Here is an 18636-nt window from a genome sequence, read left to right as displayed (position 1 = left end):
TAGCGGAAGCACCCCAGGGCCCGTGATCCCATCTTTACAAAACGCTCCTGGGCTTTAGCCCCCACTTATCCAGAGCAATGGGCAGGAGGATGAACCAGAGTCCAGCACCTGGCCTGGTGCAGTGGGCACTCAGGAAGGCTGGTAAAAGGCTGTGTGGACCTAGGTGGAAGCTCCAGTGAAGAGAAAAGAGTGTGTGTGTCGGGGGTGGGGCTGTGGGTGTGGGTGTGGGGGGTGTGGGTGTGGGGGGTGTGTGTGTGGGTATGTGGGGGGGTGTGTGTGTTTCCTGGTGGGGGAGAGGGCCTAGAGGTATCCTTAGCCTCTAACGCCGCCCGAAGATCCCCAGCCAGACGTGCCCTTTAAGAATCGTTTGAATCCAGGAGGCGGAGGTTGCAGTGAACTGAGATCGCACCATTGCACTCCAGCCTGGGCAACAAGAGTGAAACTCCATCTCAAAAAAAAAAAAAAAAAAAGATTCACACAGCCAGTCATTCAGCTGCAACTGATTCTGCATCTGCTGCGTTCTTAGCAGACCATGATAGAGACGCAGAGCTTGCCTGCTGAGGTGTTTCTGCCAGAAGGCTTCCTGGAGGAGGGGTGTTAACCCTGCAACAGGCTGAGGAGACGAGGGGGTCATCAGCTACAGCAGCGCTTCTCAGACTGGTCTGGGACCAGCACCTGGGAGCTTGTAGAAACGCTGATTCTCAGCAGGGATCAGCCACTCCTGGGCAGGGCCCAGCACCCAAGTCTTAAGTGACCAGGTGTTTCTGGGGAGACCCACTAGGCTGGGGCATGGGAGACTGGGTCCCAAGGGAACCAGCATCCAGGGAATTCTCTCCTTCGGCCAAGAGTTTGCGGCCTGACAGTGTTCTCTGCACTGTGGTCAAGGGGCTCATAGGTGGACAAAGTGTGTACTCGGAGCACTGGCAAAGCAGAAAACAGTTCTAGAAGAATCTGGTATTTAGTATTTTTCCGGAAAGCATCAACATCAGCATCATGGGAAACGCTAGTATCCTGATGGACGCTCAGTCTCTTTTATCCCCCAAATTAGGCATTAGGACAATTGTTCTAGGAAGTGAATGTGTGTTCAGCTTCTCCCGCACAGTTGACCATTTCTTTGCCCTCTCACTCTTGCCTCTTGGGACCTTCCTTCTGGAAATATTTTCCTTTAGAAATGGCTCAAGGGAGGCTCCAAGCTCACTTGGGATTGTCCGAAGATGCCGACATCTTGTTCTTGAAAGATATTTTTACTCAGTACAAATGCGAGGTGGGCAGTTATTTAACCTGTTCATACTAGTGTTTGGTGACGTTGTTTTCCAGGCCTGTGGTCTCTATTAGTGCGGTCAGGAAGTTGGTCTGCCACCTAGTTGCCATGCATTTGTAGGTAATTAGTCTCCTCAGCAGCTTCTTTTGAAACCGTCTCTTTGCTATTGTATATCACTGTGTTGGGTCCAAGCATGGAGTTTTTGTTTAATCCCTTGCTCATGCTTTATCATGTTCTCTGAACTGAAATTCGTGTCTTTTAACAATTCTGGAAAATCCTCAGCCATTATCTCTTTGAACAGCAAGTCTCGCCCCTCTCCCTCTTAGCGCTTTCTGGAGCTGCGAGCGGATGAGCATTCTCACTTCTCGCTCTGACCTTCCCTCTGAGCTTCCACCTCGCAAGTTCTGTCCTGCGTTGTACCTTCTGGCGGTTGCCTCAGCTCCATCTTCTAGTCCGCTGATTCCTTCCTGCACTGGGTCTATTTGCTGTTCAGCCAATGCACTGAGTTTCTCATTTCACTTATTACATTTTGCATTTCAAGAAGTTCTGTTTGACTCTTTTTTTCATATCTCCCTGAACACTTTTGTAGTCTGTTTTTCCTTGTCTATGCTCTCCATATTTTAAATGTCTTTAGAGATGGAGTCTCACTCTGTTGCCCAGGTTGGAGTGCAATGGCACGATCTTAGCTCACCACAACCTCTGCTTCCTGGATTCAAGTGACTCTCCTGCCTCAGCCTCCCAAGTAGCTGGTATTATAGGCAGGCGCCACCATGTCCAGCTAATTTTTTGTATTATTAGTGGAGATGGGGTTTTGCCATGTTGGCCAGGCTGGTCTTGAACTCCTGACCTCAGGTGATCTGCCCGCCTCAGCCTCCCAAAGTGCTGGGATTACAGGCATGAGCCACTGTTCCCGGCCTAGGATTTTTAAACTTATTTTTATTCTATTTCTGATCATTCAAACGTCAAATCTTTTGATCTAGTTTTACATGTATGGCTTCTTTCAACTGCGACTCACTGTGGAATGTTCTCTCCTAGGTTTTGCAGTTTGAGGCTGTGGGCCTGGCAGTGTTCTGTAGGGACCCGGTAGGACCCTGATGAGGGCTTGCTCTGGCCGTGTGCCCAGGTCCACCAACCCAACACCTCTTTAGGTTAATTTCTTGGCTTGGGGTTTCTGGACCACTCCAAAAATTTGAACCCGATCCCGAGCGATCCGCAGCCTAAACTGACACATTCTTAGGAAGGAATCCTTTTATCCACATTGATTGCAGAGGCCAGGACAAATGAATATCATTGTCATTTTTATTTGCTAGAAGTTTGTTGTTTTAGAGCCCTTACACTGAAGGTACAGCCTTTGAGGACTCCAGCTTGAGATAAGAGTCTTACGTGCCACTCCCAACCTTTTCTCAGCTCAAGATGTAGTGTCTTCTGTTCCCTGCACAAGGTCCCAGGCCCCAGATGTGGGCAAAACGCCTCAGGGCATCCAGAAGTCAGCGTTTGCTTCCTGTCTGGCATCAGTTTCCTCTTCATTTCTGGCTCTCAGAAATTTTCCTTACTCCCTTGCAAACTTAGCTGTGCGTTGAATAAAGAAGTTTGTGGCAACTTGTCCTGGATTTTTAGGGGTTTTGTAGCAGAAGCCCTCCTACCCCACCCCCGCCCCAGAAAGTCTGACTGTAGCAGAACAGGTCTCACTGCTTTACCAAACCATTTCTTCTTCCTCTGGGCTCACAGCTGGACCGCAGAGCCAGACTCCCCTGCACTGAGCACGGCCACGTGTCTGCGTTCTGTCCAGTGGGATGTGGGTGGGAGTGGTGGGCACCATTCCTGAGCCTGGCCCATAAAACCCTCCCACACAATGCTCCATGCCCTTCCCCTTCTTCAGTGGCCTTAGAAGCCTTAGGGTGACGATGGCAGAGCCATGAGATGGGTGTGCTTGTGTCCCTCATCACTGTTCACAGGAGAGCTGCCTGCCATGTCAGGGGTTAACAAGCAGGACGAAAACCCCTGGGACCAAGGGTGTGTCAGCTGGTGGGACAGCACAGTCCACGGGCCCACCATTTGCCAGAATCAAAGCCTCTCTTTGTGATCCCACAGCTTAGTGTCACATGCAGAATCGCTGTCTGGCGTAGGGACGTCAGGATGTTTATCTGGCCTGGCTCTCAGAAGGTGGGACGGCGGGTTACAGAGCCCAAGTGGCCCCTGGCACTGCAAATGGGACACTGGTGCTGAGAAAGATTCCGCCGCTTCTTCCCACCAAGGCAAAGCTCTAGGCAAGGCCCCACACTGGCCACCGAGCTCCAGACAACGCAGCTGTGGTCCTGCTCTCCAGGAATTCCTAGGTAGTCGGGGACACAGGCACACACAAAGGCGGCCCAGGGACAAGAGGACAATGGCCACAGCGCGTCTGAGGACAGGGGCCGTGTTACTCAGGCAACAGCACATTCAGGCCAAGGCTCCAGGGCCTGGGGGAGGACTATGCCTGTGCGGGGACCACATGGTCAATAGCACTGGAGTCAGAGCAGCAGGCGGCCTCCCCTGGGCTGGAACAGGTGGGACTCTAGGAGCAGCCCAGCCTTACCTGGCAGGAGACAGTGCACACTCCAGAGATGGGACGGACCCAGGGCTAGCAGGACTAGAAATTTCATCTCCAAAGCCATCGATGACACCTTGCCTGCAGTCACTGGAGTCCTCAGGCCACCCACTGTGCAAACATGTCATCAAGAAGCCATCAGAGCTCTAATGACTACAAAGAAGCTCTTCTCCCAGGGATGAGGACTGGCTTCCTGCGGCTGGCAACATTCCCACAACAGGCTCTGCAGTGACACAGCAGGCCAGAGGACGGGTGTCAGGACTCCCAGCTGGGAACCCAATGCACGCAGCCTTCTCTGCTCCTCTCAGCAGCCCGCCAGGAGAAGTGCCACCAGCCTGCCGGCTGCCAAGGCTCAGGTGCGGCAGATGGGCCACCACTCACACGGGCTGGAGCCAGGGTTTGAACCCAGCCGTACCCTCTGATTTATGTGTCAGGCTGGCTGGGCTACGGTGCCCGGTTGCTCAGCCAAATGCAAATCTAGATGTTTCTGTGGAGGTATTTTGTGGCTATGACTAACACCTACAATCAGTTAACTGTGAGTAAAAGCAATTACCCCTCGTCACCTGGGTGGGCCTCATCCAATCTGCTGAAGGCCTTCAGAGGAAAAACAGAGGCTTTCCAAAGAACATAGAATCCCACCCAGAGACTGTGACATAGAAATCCTGCCTTAGAGGCCGGGCGCGGTGGCTCACACCTGTAATCCCAGCACTTTGGGAGGCTAAGGCGGGCGGATGTGATGGGCGAGGTGATGGGGAGTGATGGGGAGGTGATGGGGGAGGTGATGGGGAGTGATGGGGAGGTCGTGACGGTGAGTGAAGAAGGAAGAGGTGATGGGGAGGTGAAGGAGGAGGTGATGGGGAATGATGGGGAGGTGAAGGAGGAGGTGATGAGGAGTGATGGGCAGGTGATCGGGGAGGTGATAGAGAGTGATGGGGAAGGTGATGGGGAGTGATGAGGAGGTGACAGCAAGTGAAGGAGGAGGAGGTGATGGGGAGGTGAAGGAGGAGGTGATGGGGAGGTGAAGGAGGAGGTGATGGGGAGGTGAAGGGGAGGTGAAGGAGGAGGTGATGGGGAGGTGAAGGAGGCAGTGATGGGGAGGTGAAGGAGGAGGTGATGGGGAGGTGAAGGAGGAGGTGATGGGGAGGTGAAGGGAAGGTGAAGGGGAGGTGATGGGGAGGTGAAGGGAAGTGAAGGAGGAGGTGATGGGGAGGTGAAGGAGGAGGTGATGGGGAGGTGATGAGGAGTGATGGGAGAGGTGATGAAGGGGAGGCAAAGGAGGCGGTGATGGGGAGGTGATGGGGAGGTGAAGGGGAGGTGAAGGGGAGATGATGGGGAGTGATGGGGGGGTGATGAAGGGGAGGTAAAGGAGGAGGTGATGGGGAGGTGAAGGGGAGGTGATGGGGAGTGATGGGACAGGTGATGAAGGGGAGGTGATGGGGAGTGATGGAGGAGGTGATGGGGGAGGTTTCCCCTACCTTCCATGCTGCCTTGGGAAACGGAGAGCTCCTGGACTGCACCTGTTCAGTGTTTATCCACAGTGACCGGGAGGTTCTTGAGAAAGAAAGTGCCACTCAGAAGCCCATCTGCTCCTCCTCCCCTCCACCCCATGCACCACAGGACATAAATCCCAGATGAAAAAGGAGGCCGGAGCTGGGGTCACACCCAGAGCCACCCATTGCCCCCATCACTGCAGGAGGAGGCCCCAGGGCCTGGGTGCAACCCACAGCCTCCCTGTCCACCTCCCGCGCTTCCTGCAGCCTGGGCCAGCCCTGTGACCTGATGAGGATCTATTTTAGTCGCTACACTGCAGGGCAGAGAAAAATTGCTCCTCTGCACCGTCCCCTTCGGTCACCCCATTTCAGAGCAGAGCCCCTGGGTTTTAGGATCAAAGAGCAGTGGGAAGCTGAGAGCACGGCCTGTCCATTAATCAGCTGTTAAGGACTCCCAGAAGCCCACAGAGGTCTGCAAAGAGTGGTTTATTTTCCCTTACATCCTTAAAACCTGTGGCTCTAGCCAGAAAGAGCGTGGGCGTCAGAGTCCACCGGTCAGGGCTAGTCCTGGTGATGCCCTGTGGGTGGGGTCCCTGGAGAGGTTGCTTCACCTCCCCCAGCCTCCATTCCTCATTCGCAGAAGCAGGAAGGAGAACACCGCTTCAGCAGGCTGGCATGCGGGTGAAGGGCGGTGAAGCCCAGGCACCCACCCCTGCACCCTGTGTCTCTCCCCAGGCCCTGCTTCGGGCTCCTTCCTCCATCTTCACTGTGCCAGGCCCCCAGCCAGAGAGGGGATTTAAAGGAGAATCTGGCTTTGTCCCCGCCTGGAGAAGCTCATGTGGATATAGAACCTGTGACACCTAACACCATTCGGGGGTGCAAGGAGAGCGGGAGTGGTGGTCACAGAGGTGACCCCAGTACCAGGAGCAGCATGGGCCAAGGCCCAGGGGCAAGACAGCCCTGTGCTATTCTCTGAGTCCTTTCCTCCATCTCTCCACTGTGCAAAGCGTGGGATTACAATGCACATTACAAGGGCTGGGAGACTTAGGGAGGCAGTTTCCTGAGCCCCGTGGATACTCCCAGAGATGGGCTCTGAGGCTTTCCTCGCAGGCCAGGGCTGTGGGGGCCTGAACCACCTCCTTCTTTGCAAAGGGACAGCCTGGAGCCACAGCCCAGGGCTGCTGTGAAGTGGTGCATCTTTTCACCAAGTCACTTCTGGATGTGACACAGACTGGACCTCATGAGTGAGGCCCCCAGGGAAACCTCCCAGCCAGGTGGCTGAGCCCCACACCCAGAGGAGGCCAGCCTCAAAGGGAAGACACAGCCAGGAGGGGACAGCGCCTGCCCTTCCTCCGGCCACTGCACCTGCTGTGCACCGGCGCTATAGCACAGCTGGGCAGAGTGAACCGCTGTCACCTGACTTCACCCACATAGCAATTTGTATCTCTGAGACACTGGGAAATTGAGGCACAGGTGGAAATGGCAATCCGTAGGTTAACACAGCTCAATCATTCAGAGCACCTGGACCTGGAGACATCTCAGCTCTGCCACGTCCTTCTTGCATGACCTCTATGCAGTGAATGCCCTGTGCCTCAGTTTCCCCATCTGTAAATTAAGAACCATCACTGCTTCCTTGTGGGTCGTGATCAGGATGGAAGAACACATTAAGAAGCCTCCTCAGATGCCTAGCATGTAAGAAACCTTGATTAGAATTACTACTCAGACCACAGAGCCATTTCATTATTCTTATTTTTGCCATTAAGCATGCTGTGAACATTTGTGAAATAAATGATTTTTCCTGGTGTTTTATGAAATGTTTAGACACACAACAAAATTGAGAAAAAGTGTTTAGTGGGCCGGGCATGCTGGCTCATGCCTGTAATCCCAACACTTTGGGAGGCCAAGGCGGGCGGATCACAAGGTCAGGAGATCGAGACCATCCTGGCTAACATGGTGAAACCCCATTTCTACTAAAAATCCAAAAGATAAAAATAAAAATTAGCCAGGTGTGGTGGCAGGCGCCTGTAGTCCCAGCTACTCAGGAGGCTGAGGAAGGAGAATGATGTGAACCCGGGGTCGGAGCTTGCAGTGAGCCGAGATAGCGCCACTGCACTCCATCCTGGGTGACAGAGTAAGACTCCAACTCAAAAAAAAAAAAATGTTTAGTGATCATTCTTATGCCCATCACTTAGAATTCTACCATTTATGTAGAATAATACTTGCTTTATCATATATCCATCCAGCCATCCCGCTCTCCACTCAGCAATACATCTTATTTTTCAATGCATTTCAAAGAAAATGGAAGACATCAGCACACTTCCTCCAAATGCTGCAGTGTTTATTATTTCTCATGTAACATTTACATACAAGGAAATCTGCAAATCTTGAAAGACACTTTCTGGATGTTGACAAATGCATACCCCTGTGTAACCCAAACCCCATCAAGATGGACATCACTCACCATCATCCCAGCATGAAGCTTCTTCGTGCCTCTCCTCAGTCAACCCTGCCCCTACTCCCAGGAGGCAACCACCGTTCTGAGGGCTTTTTCCCACCATAGATTGATTTTTTCTGTTCTAGAATTCCATATAATATAGGGCATGATTTCATAGCACAGTACGGCGTGTACTTGTATTAGTTTATGCCTGTGAAACAAATTACCCCAAATTAGCAGCTTAAAACAACAACATTTATTATTTCACAGTTTCTGTGGCTGGGAACCAGGACGCAGCTTGACGGGGCCTCTCTGGTGTGGAGTCTCTCCAATGCTGCCATCCACACATGGGCCGGGGCTGGCTGGATGGAGGCTCTGTCCCTTGAGGGCTGTAGACTGAGGGTCTCCGCTCCTTGCTGGGTGTTGGCCAGAGGGTGGCATCTTCGGTTCCTCGGCTCGTGGGCTTCCACAGGGCAGCTCCCACATGGAGCAAGACAGGAGCCAGCATCTTTCTGTCATCCACTCTTGGAGGCAGCATCCCACCACTTATGCCATATTCTACTCATTAGCAGGAAGTGGGTGACCAGGTCCTGCTCACACGCCCAGGAGGGGTCATACCCAGAGCAGGGACAGAGCAGCCACCATTGAGACCCGTCTGAGCAGCTGTCCCTTGCAGTGCTCTGGCTTGGGTGGAGCGCCTCTCACTTGGCGTGTTCCTGAGACGCCCATGGCCTGCCCGTCACAGCTGCGAACAGCACTCCTGGGGCTCCCTCCAAATGCCCACCTGGCTGCAGGAGGGGGCCGCAGTGACAGACCTGTGCCCATGTCCCTCTGCGTGGCTGCCTGGAAACACGCCCCCTCCCTGTGGTTGCAGGCGGCCTGCACCCTGACCTGCAGCCAACCGAAGCCCAGAGGTCCTGACTTTTGCCTCTCCAAGCCTCCCAGGAACATGTGCTTTGTGGGGACACCCCATGTTGATGGGGACACCCCATGTTGAGAACATGTAGAGGGGGTGCCCTGGGGAGCGGAGAGAAGCCCCTGAGCCCTGAGTTCAGCATCAGACCCGGTGCCGCACATAGTCCCTATCTGCCCATTGAGGGTGACCCTGGGCCACAATCACTCAGGGGCTGACAGTGGGACTGCAGCCCTGTCCTGAGTGCGCCCACCTTCGCAGGGGATGCAGGAGGTGAGGATAGGACCAGGAATCTGGCTCTCCTCCTGAGATGGGCAAGCCCCTCCCTCTCAGAGAGGAAATGGACAGGAGGCATGCAAAGTCTGCGCAGAGAGGCAGAGAGGGAGAGACAGAGAGAGGGAGGGAGACACAGAGACAGAGGAAGGGATGAACATAGAGAGATAGATGAGAGACAGACAGAAAAAAGGAGGAAGAGACAGAGAGAGAGGATGGGAGCGGGAGGAAGAGACAGAAAGATTGAGGGAGGGAAAGAGAGAGGGGGAGGAATAAAGGGAGGGAGAGAGTGAGACAGACAAAGAGACAAACAAAGCGAGAGGCAGAGACAGAAAGACAGGAAGAGGCAGAGAATGAGACAGGGAGAGAGAGGTAGGGATGGGTGCGGACAGAGGCAGGGAAGGCTAAGGGCTGGGGACAGTGAAGGAAGAAGTCAGTGCCTGCAGGAGCCCGTCCCTCCCCACGGCCTCCAGGCATGTCCGAGGAGGCACAGAAGCCTCTTCCTGGAGTTCAGGGCCAGCCCTGGAGATGAGGAAGGCCGGGCCCCAGCCCGTGAGCTGCAGGCAGGGTGGTGGGAGCTGCGTATGGCCTGGCAGGTCCCTGCTCAGGAGGGGCCTGGGCCCCGTCCAGCTGGGGAGTGGGTGCAGCAGACCCTTCAGCAGGGCAGGGCGCCTCCCAGCCCAGGAGCTCAGAGAGGCCCGGCCACCTCTCTGCCCCCATCCATCAGCCCGGCTCTTCCTCAGTCTGCCCCTCCAGGCTGTGCCTCCTTGCACTGTGCCAGGGCACTGTACAGGGCCCTGTAGCCGAGCCCTGTGGCCTAAGATGTGCACCCCTCGTGCCAGTGGCCCTGGCTTCTTCCAGACCACAAGTGGCCCTGGGGACCGCTCTGCCCAGGCAGAGCCCCCACAGCCACTCCTCTTGGGCCCCAGACCCTCTCTCCTCCTCCTCGCTGCAAACTCCCTCCTCTCTTTTCCGCACTCTCCAAGTTCTCCTTTGGGCTTCTGGAAACAAAGATCAGGGTGGCTCGAGGACCACACAGCAAGAGTGCGCCAGAAAGAGAGGAGGGGAGATGGAAAGAGGAAGAAACAGGAGGCAAAAACCCCACTGCACATCACCCATCCAAGGGTGAATCCAGCCTCACAAAGAAATGAATCACCGAGGTGGGAATGGGGAGCCTGCCGCCCTGGAGACAGCACGGCAGCTCCTCAGACACTTTAACCTCCTGACCCAGCAACACCACCGCTGGGGACGCACCCAACAGAGGTGAACGCAGGGACTCGGGAGCCATTGGCACGCCCAGGGTCACAGCAGCACTCCTCACAGTAGCCAAAATGTGGAAGCAACCAAGGGCCTCTCAACGGGTGGATCCAAACCCAGTGCGGTGTAGACACGTGACGGGAATCCCACTGCACCTGAAGAAGGGAGAAAAGTCCGACACGCGCCACAGCATGCGTGAACCTCGAGAACCTCAAGAACCTCGAGAACCTCGTGCTAAGTGAAATAAGCAGTCATAAAAGGACAAATACCGTGTGACTCCACTCACACTCGTGGTTCCTGGCATGGTCACACTCATGGAGACAGTGGCACGGTGGCTGCCGGGGACTGGAGAATGGGAGTTCGTGTTTAATGCGTACCAAGGGTTTTGGTTTTGCAAGATGGAGAGTTCTGGGGATGGGCGGTGGTGATGATCACAGAACATTAGGAACATTCTCTTTTTTTAACTTCTGGGATACATGTGCAGAACGTGCAGGCTTGTTACATAGGTATACACGTGCCGTGATGGTTTGCTGCACCCATCAACCCGTTATCTAAATTTTAAGCCCCGCATACATTAGGTATCTGTCCTAATGCTCTCCCTCCCCTTGGACCCCACCCCCTTGACAGGCCCCAGTATGTGATGTCCCACTCCCTGTGTCCATGTGTTCTCACTGCTCAACTCCCACTTATGAGTGAGAACATGCAGTGTTTGGTTTTCTGTTCCTGTGTTTGTTTGCTGAGAATGATGGTTTCCAGCTTCATCCATGTCCCTGCAAAGGACATGAACTTATTCTTTTTTATGGCTTCATCCACGTCCCTGCAAAGGACATGAACTTATTCTTTTATATGGCTTCATAGTATTCCATGGTGTATATGTGCCACATTTTCTTTATCCAGTCTATCACTGATGGGCATTTGGGTTGGTTCCAAGTCTTTGCTATTGTAAATAGTGCTGCAGTAAACATATAAGTGCACGTGTCTTTACAGTAGAATGATTTATAATCCTCTGGGTATATACCCAGTAATGGGATTGCTGGGTCAAATGGTATTTCTGGTTCTAGATCCTTGAGGCATCGCCACACTGGATTCCACAATGGTTGAACTAATTTGTACTCCCACCATCAGTGTAAAAGTGTTCCTATTTCTCCACAGCCTCACCAGCATCTGTTGTTTCCTGACTTTTTAATGATCGCCATTCTGACTGGCATGAGATGGTATCTCATTGTGGTTTTGATTTGCATTTCTTTAATGACCACTGATGATGAGGTTTTTTTCATAAGTTTTCTTTTGAGAAGTGTCTAGGAACATTCCTAATGCCACTGAACTCTACACTTAATAAGAATTAAAATGGTAAATTTTACGTCATTTGTGTATACTTCACCACAGTTTCTTAAAAGGCTAATTTTTTTCAGGGAGGAGCTGAGAGTCAGAGGGTGGGAACAGCCTGGAGTGACAGGGAAGTTTCTCGAGACAGTGACGCCTAAGTGGGGGCTTGAAGGGTGAAGAGCCCAGCAGAGGTGGGAGAAGGGCAGAGCAGGGCAGGTCAGCATGGCTGGTCCATGAAGCCACGCTGGGCAGTGGGTGAGGACTGGAACGCCCAGAGCCCTGCAGGCATCGGGCAGGTCCCGGGAGCCATGGAACCACTGAACTGAGCTGCAGAGGTGGGGTCAGCTGGTGTTTCTCCTTCACCAGGCTCCCAGTGAGAAGGGATTGAAGGGGCAAAGTGGGCGGGCAACCCAAAAGCAGCATCCCAGGAGGACAGGGCAGGGGTGCCAGGCAGGCCATCGGGCAGGGGTGCCGGGCAGGCGATCAGGCAGGGCACGGCCCCTCATGGCCCAGGGAAGTCACCCCCCACTCTCTGACAGGCTTGCCAACTTCACAAAGAAGAATAAGGACAGTCAGTTAAATCTGAATTTCAGATAAGCAACAAATAACTTTTTAGTGTGACTATGTCCCAAATACCGCATGGGACCTGTTCACACTGTAAACGTGTTCCTGGCGTGTTCAATGTTCTCATGTAGCCAGGTGCCCTGGGTCTCATCTGGACGCTGCCCTCTGAGACTCCTGCCTCTCATCTGGAAAGCCGGTGGTCACTGCCTCAGCAAGGCTCTCCCCTCTGGTTCTTCAGGAATCCCCAGCCAGTCCTCCCGGACCACCCAGCCAGGAAGACCCCCACCCCCAGCCCCGGTCACGGTCACTCCACCGGCTCTGCTGCCTTCTTGGCACTTGCAGGCTCTGAAACGGCCCAGCTGTGTGCCTGTCTGTCTGGAATCTTTCTCCCACTCTGAGGTGCGGGCTCCGTGAGCACAGGGACCCATCACCACTGTGTCCCCAGCACCTAGCAGAGGCTGGGCGCGCGTGGGTGTGCAGCCATGATTTACTGAAGATGACACAGATGCCTCCCTGGAGGGGCAGCCTGAGGGGAACAGGAAGATGAGGGTGAGTGGGGCGGGGCCCCGTGCAACTGCTGTTTCTGCCCCACCATTCCCCTCCTGCTGATGACCGGCCCCCTCTCCTCTGAGGCTCAGGCTGGCCTCTGCCCAGGGGACGAAACGCCCCTAGCTCTGTGCAGATGTGGGCCGGCAGATCCGCACCAGCCCGGCCTGGCCCTACCCCCACCCCTCCCGACAGGACCAGCCTCCTCCTCCACAGATTCCCACGGCAGCCTGTTACCATGGTGACAGCAATCGGAGGTCACTGCGCTAGAAACCGGAGGATGCCTCCCTCCTGGAGCACAACAAGAGTCAGAATCTAATTTTCATTATAGCCATAATAGTGGTTTTGCATAATCTTACATATATTAATACCTAACATGCCTGTGTTTATTTGGTTAAAATTCATGAATTCGGGTCTAAATAAAAAGTGCTGATGGCTGAAGTTTTTCATTCTCTTAAAATGTTCTTGTGTTATTTTTTTTTTTTAAAGCCAGTCTCTCTCCTTGGCAGCAACTTGCTTTTAATCCCATTATTAACGGGGAAGAGAGAGGATGACAAATCAGGGTTCTCCTCCCCAGGGGCCGAGCCTCTGGCTGTGGAGGTGGCATGCAGGTGCCCGTCACCCCTAGCCTCTGCCTCGCTGTGTGGCCCAGACCACACCCTGCTGCCATTCCAGGCCTGTTTCCTCAAGTGGAAAAATAAGATAAGGTGTTAGTTGGTCTTTGAAATCCCTTCTGCTTCCAAAACACAGCCACGGAGCTGACATTTGCTGAATCTCAACCTGCACCAGGCTCCGGGTGGGAGGAGTAAACACAGTCCCTGTCCTTGGGTCAGCGCAATCTGATGGGGACTTACTCAAGAAACAGTGCAGGCTGGGCATGGTGGTTCATGCCTGTAATCCCAGCACCCGAGGCGGGTGGATCACCTGAGGTCAAGAGTTCGAGACCAGCTGGCCAATGTGGCAAAACCCTGTCTCTACTAAAAATACAAAACTTAGCCAGGCATGATAGCAGGCGCCTGTAATCCCAGCTACTCAGGAGGCTGAAGCGGGAGAATCGCTTGATCCTTGCAGTGAGCTGAGATCTTGCCACTGCACTCGAGCCTGGGCAACAGAGCGAGACTCCGTCTCAAAAAAAAAAAAAAGAAAGAAAAAGAAATAGACAGTGCCAAACGGTGAACAGATTATTCTTCCCACGTGACCCTCTCGCCCGGGTCCAGCAACTCAGCCACAGCAGCAGAGTATGGGAACCAGGCCTGCCTCCTCCCCAGCTCCACAGGCCCCCAGCCACCCAGCGGCCATGAGAGCACCCTGCCATGAGCATTGTTCTAGGTCCCCGACGCCCCAGGCCCCATGCCTGAAAATGGGGGAGGAGACACTGCCACCCCTCCCTTGAGAGAAGCCTCAGCTTGACACCCACCCCGCTGGGGAAAGAACAGCAGAGACACACGGAGAAATTCTTAAATAGGCTTCTGGGCTTTTATTCAAAACAACACTGGTGGTGGCTGCCGCTTGGTTTCTCTACACCCGGGCCATGGGCCAGCAGGTACCAGCGCCATCAGCAACTAGGAGGGAAGTTCATTCACACCATAGAAACTGTACAGCGACTGAGAGTGCTAGAGTCACGGCGGCGGCCCAGGCCGAGGGCTTTCTGGAGGAGGTGGCCTCTGCCTCCTCAGTAGGCTGCAGCTTGGCCCAGGCTCTGCCAGGAACACTGATTATTGCACAAAGACAAAAAAGAGTATGTGTATCTGGGCTAAAGAGCAGCTTCTAAGACCCCAAGCCCTTACACAACGCAGCAAACGGGGCTGGGGTTGGCCCTGGAAGCGGAAGGCTCTGAGCTGAGGATTTGGGGGAAGACAGCAGACGGGCTTTACACACTTTGTCCTCCTTTAAGGGGCTGCCTGGTGCCGGAGAAGGTAGAGCAGGGGAGAGGAAGAGGATTTGGCCAGACTGGGCCGTCTCTGCACAGATGCCAAGGTGCCTGCCCACCACCGCTCTACGGAGCCCAGCAGACAGCTCAGGGACCTGGGTCCCCACTTTCCCCACAGCCAGGCCCATGTGGGTTAGGGCAAGTTTGTGCTTTTGTGATAGACACAAGCCTGAGGCCATGGCCCCAGACCACAGGGTTGGGGAGGAAGGAAGGGCCCTTTGCCCAACCCTCACCCATGTTGACTTGTCCTGGCCAGTGGATCACAGCTTCCCTGGTTCTCATCTCTGTCACCCACAGGAACAAGGTCAAGTGCCTGGGATCGGCAGGTGGGGCCTCCAGGAGCCTGGGACGGGCCAGGCCATCTCCCAGTGCTCCCTGCAAGGAGCTTCTCTGCCTCTGAGCTCAGCTCTTCCACCTTCTCCACACTCCCTGCTCTGTGGACCCTGGAGCCTTCGCTCATGCCCATCCCTTTGCCTAGAACACCTGCCTCGAGGTGTCTGCTTGCAGAGTCACACGGTTCAGGGTAAGGGGAGGTTTCACGTCAGACCTGCCTAGGACGTGTTCCCTGCTCAGCTGCTCTGAACCCATGTGACAACAGGAAAGGCTGCTCAGTGGAGTCGCAAGATGACCTGAGGCTGCTTGACTGGTGTCTGATCCTGTTAACTTGAAGCCCAACCTTCCACATGGTATTCCCAGGCCACACAGCCCCTCTTCTGGGCTCCAATACACGTGTCCCTCCAGCAACACGCGGACTTGCAAAAAGTCAAGTCTGTCTGCTTCCCTCCAACTGCGAGAGCTCAGGGTCAGCCAGGAGCAGTCAAGCCTGCCCAGCTCCACTTCTTCCCCAGACAAGGTACCTCGTTCCACATAAAACCACCTCTGTGGAAAGGGAGGCAGGGCTGAGGCTCTCTGGAGCGGGCAGTGTTGGGCTTGGACCGAGCCATCCCCACAGGTCTACCTGCCCCCAGGGAGGACTGGGCAGTTCCTTCCGCCACAGGCACCTTGCTCAGCATCACAGCTCTAGGGTGTGGAGTAGGGCCCTCCACACCACCCCAGCTTCTTTGCTGCCAGGGCCCTGAAGCATCCTGGGCTGGCTGCTTCCCCTCTCCAGGGCTCAGTTTCCCGGGTGGGCTTGACAACCCCTCCCGGCCCCCTCTCCCTCAGCCCAAAAGGGAAGGGCGCACCCCACACCCTCACCAGCCCGGCCACAAGCTGAGTTCTTCCAAGTCAGAGTTTGGGAACAAGAACAAGGCCCCCCCTTGGCAGGCCCCCCTGAAGCCCTCGGAGGGGGTCTTAGCAAAGGCAAGGTTATTGCTGAAGTACAGCATCTGCAAACTCGTGGCCCCTGCAGCCTCTCCAGATCACTGCCACCAACATGCTCCCAACCTCCTTCTTCAAACTGACTTCATGAAAGTCACTCCCTTTTTAAAAAGTAGCCTTGACCTAAGCAAAATGTCTGTGAAATCACGGGTTCAATGCATTTTTTTCCCAATAAATAGTGAAATAAATGCGTAACTCTTCAAATCAAACACCCAAGTCTAGAACCCGTTTGGGAAGCACTGCTATAGTGAAAGCTGAGCTGCAGTTAGGGGCAGCGGGGAGGAGAGACAGGGGCTGGCAGGTGGGGTGGGAAGATGTGGCCTCCAGGTGACGCGAAAGGCTGGGCATGGGGATGCGGCTGGACCCAGGGCCCAGGCAGGTGCCCCCACCCCTGCCTAGAATTCGGTCAGAGCTGCTTTGCCTTGAACCTACTGGGGCGGGGGCATAGTTGCTCAGGACGGGGACAGCACAGTGTCCAGGAACAGCCACAGCTCAGCGCCCATATGGGGGATAAAAGGCATTAGTGGCTGAACAACTAACTACCTGAGCCCAGGGGCACCTGCAGGGCAGCTGGAGCCAGCCGAGACCAGGCGGGTACCCTAGCCCCTCCAAGCAAGCCACTGCCGGCTCAGTCTCCCGCACCCTTCCTCTGCAGGCTGCCTCCACTCCTGCTCCACCCACCCCCGCCCTCCTGGGGGTGGAACCCACCCCCTCAGAAGTGCTCAGGAGCTGGGGACCTCACCTGGGGCCAGAGCCCCAGCTCAGCCTTGGAGCTGCTCTCCATCCCCTACCCCAGGCCTAAGGAAACACAGCTACTCACCCCTGATTTTTCTAAAGAGAGACATCTAACCGGTGGACTAAGGGGATGTGTGTGCTCTGGGGTGTCTACGAAAGACTTCACAATAACGAGACAGTCAGGATGACAGGACAGACACCCCGACACGTGGGAGCCACGTGGGATCTTAGCAGCGTTTCTTCTTTAAAGGAAAAAAAACACACACACACCCTGAATTGCACCTCTTCTCCAGGGCCTGGTGCCCTCAGAGGCCTGAGGGTCCTCTCCAAGCTACTCTTAACCAGGGAGGAGACATCAAAAAACACAGCTGGGACGCCCCCGCAGGACATGTGCCCTGGGGTGGGTCTGGCCAGAATCCCAGAGCATCAGACAAAAGCCCCGTCCAGGCCCTGGCCCACCTCCCACCTTTAGCACTTTCTGGAAGTCATAAGCTCTCAGTAAAAAAAATAAATATATATATATATGTCTGTCTATGTGTGTGTGTATACACATATATATATATATATATATATATATGCATATATATATATATATGTATGTATATGCACTGGAAGGGCCACCATGGGCCACGCAGGCCTGGCTAACCCAGACTCCGCTCAGCCCGGCTGTCGGGCGCCTGTGCCCTGCGGGCCCTGCGCGATCCCAGGTGTGGACGAAGTATTGCTGTCTGCTCCTGGCTCCTGAGGTAAAGAAGGTGAGACGGGGCGGGCGGTGGGCGGCCGGGGGCCCCTGCGACCCTCATCTCTTCCTCTTGCTGGCGGCGTCTCCCGGCTCCAGCTCTCCGGGGAGCGGTTGCGGCGGGGGCGCCAAGGGGCCCAGGCCCATGGGCAGCGGTGCCCGGCCGGGGGGGTCCTTGCTGCGGTCCGCGGCCCACGAGGGGCTCCGGGCCAGGCCGTGGGCCAGGGCGGCGGCGTGGGGGCGGCCGGGGGCGGCCAGGCTGCTGGTGCTGCTGAACTTCCTGGCGGGCGTGAGGCCGGGGGCTGGCGGCGGGGGCGGCGGGCAGAAGAGGGAGGTGAGCGAGAGGCTGCTGAGGGTCTCCGAGTGCTCGCTGCCCGCGCCCCCGCCGCCCGCGCCACCGCGGCCCTCCTCGTCCGAGGGGTCCATGGAGTCGTGGTGGGTGCAGCCCGGGCTGGTGGAGCCCCCGCTGCTGTGGCTGCGCTGATGCGCCCGCAGCCCCCGCAGGCTGAAGAGGCCCCGGCCGCGCAGGCTCAGGCGGCGGCGAGCGGCGGGGGACAGGCCGGCCCGGGGTCCTGGAGCAGGCGCGGGCGGCCCCAGGGCACGCCGGGGGCTGTCGCTCAGGGTCAGGCTGTCCTCGAGCGTGGTCTGCAGGCTGCCCGCGGAGCTGCTGGGGCTGGCGTCCAGCGACGTGTCGCTCCCGGTGGCCTGGGGGGAGGTGGGAGCCGTGGAGGCCGCCTGTGTCGGCCCCCACCCCAGCAACCTGGACGCCGCCCTCCCCCGCACAGCAGGCAGCAGGCAGACCCCATCCAAGGAGCTCCCTTCGGAGCAGGGCTTCTCCCCTCCGCACGTCCAGCTTAGGCGGCGTCACCGCAGGGCCTTCACCTGCCCCGAGAGGTCCCCCGAGAGGAGCTAGCATCCGCCTCAAACCCAGGTCAGACCCGGCCCTGCCCGTCACAGAAGGCTCCAGGCTCACTCCAAGGGGAAGCCCTGGGCCCACCGCCCTCCCCCAGGGCACGTGGCACCCCCACCGCACCCCCCATGGTCTGACGCGGCCCCAGCCTTGGCTGCTCCCACTGGTTCCGGTCCCTCCCACTTGCTCCGGCCCCTGGCCCCCACCTCCCGGCCCCGTGGGCCCCCCACCTCCCAGCCCCAGAGCCCCCCACCTCCCAACCCCGGGGCCCCCCACCTGCAGCCCCTCCCCAGGAGCTGTTCTCCCTGCCTGTCCACCATGGAGTAGACTTTACTCTGCAGACATTTATTT

At 55.9% G+C, this 18636-nt stretch overlaps 1 protein-coding gene across 4 annotated transcripts in view; it reads right to left on the bottom strand.

Moving 5' to 3' along the window:
* Positions 14106-18636, bottom strand: part of CACNA1I (calcium voltage-gated channel subunit alpha1 I) — a 118983-nt gene continuing 114452 nt past the window's right edge. For all 4 annotated transcript variants that reach the window (NM_021096.4, NM_001003406.2, XM_017029035.3 and 1 more), the window contains one exon: positions 14106-18080. In NM_021096.4, the coding sequence (NP_066919.2) occupies positions 17436-18080 (645 nt within the window). In that variant the 3' untranslated portion in view covers positions 14106-17435. The remainder of the gene's footprint in view (positions 18081-18636) is intronic.

Source organism: Homo sapiens, chromosome 22, assembly GCF_000001405.40.
Source record: "Homo sapiens chromosome 22, GRCh38.p14 Primary Assembly".
Taxonomy (NCBI): Eukaryota; Metazoa; Chordata; class Mammalia; order Primates; family Hominidae; genus Homo; species Homo sapiens.
Note: the sequence above shows the minus strand (reverse complement) of the source record. Positions and strands in the feature narration are given on the sequence as shown.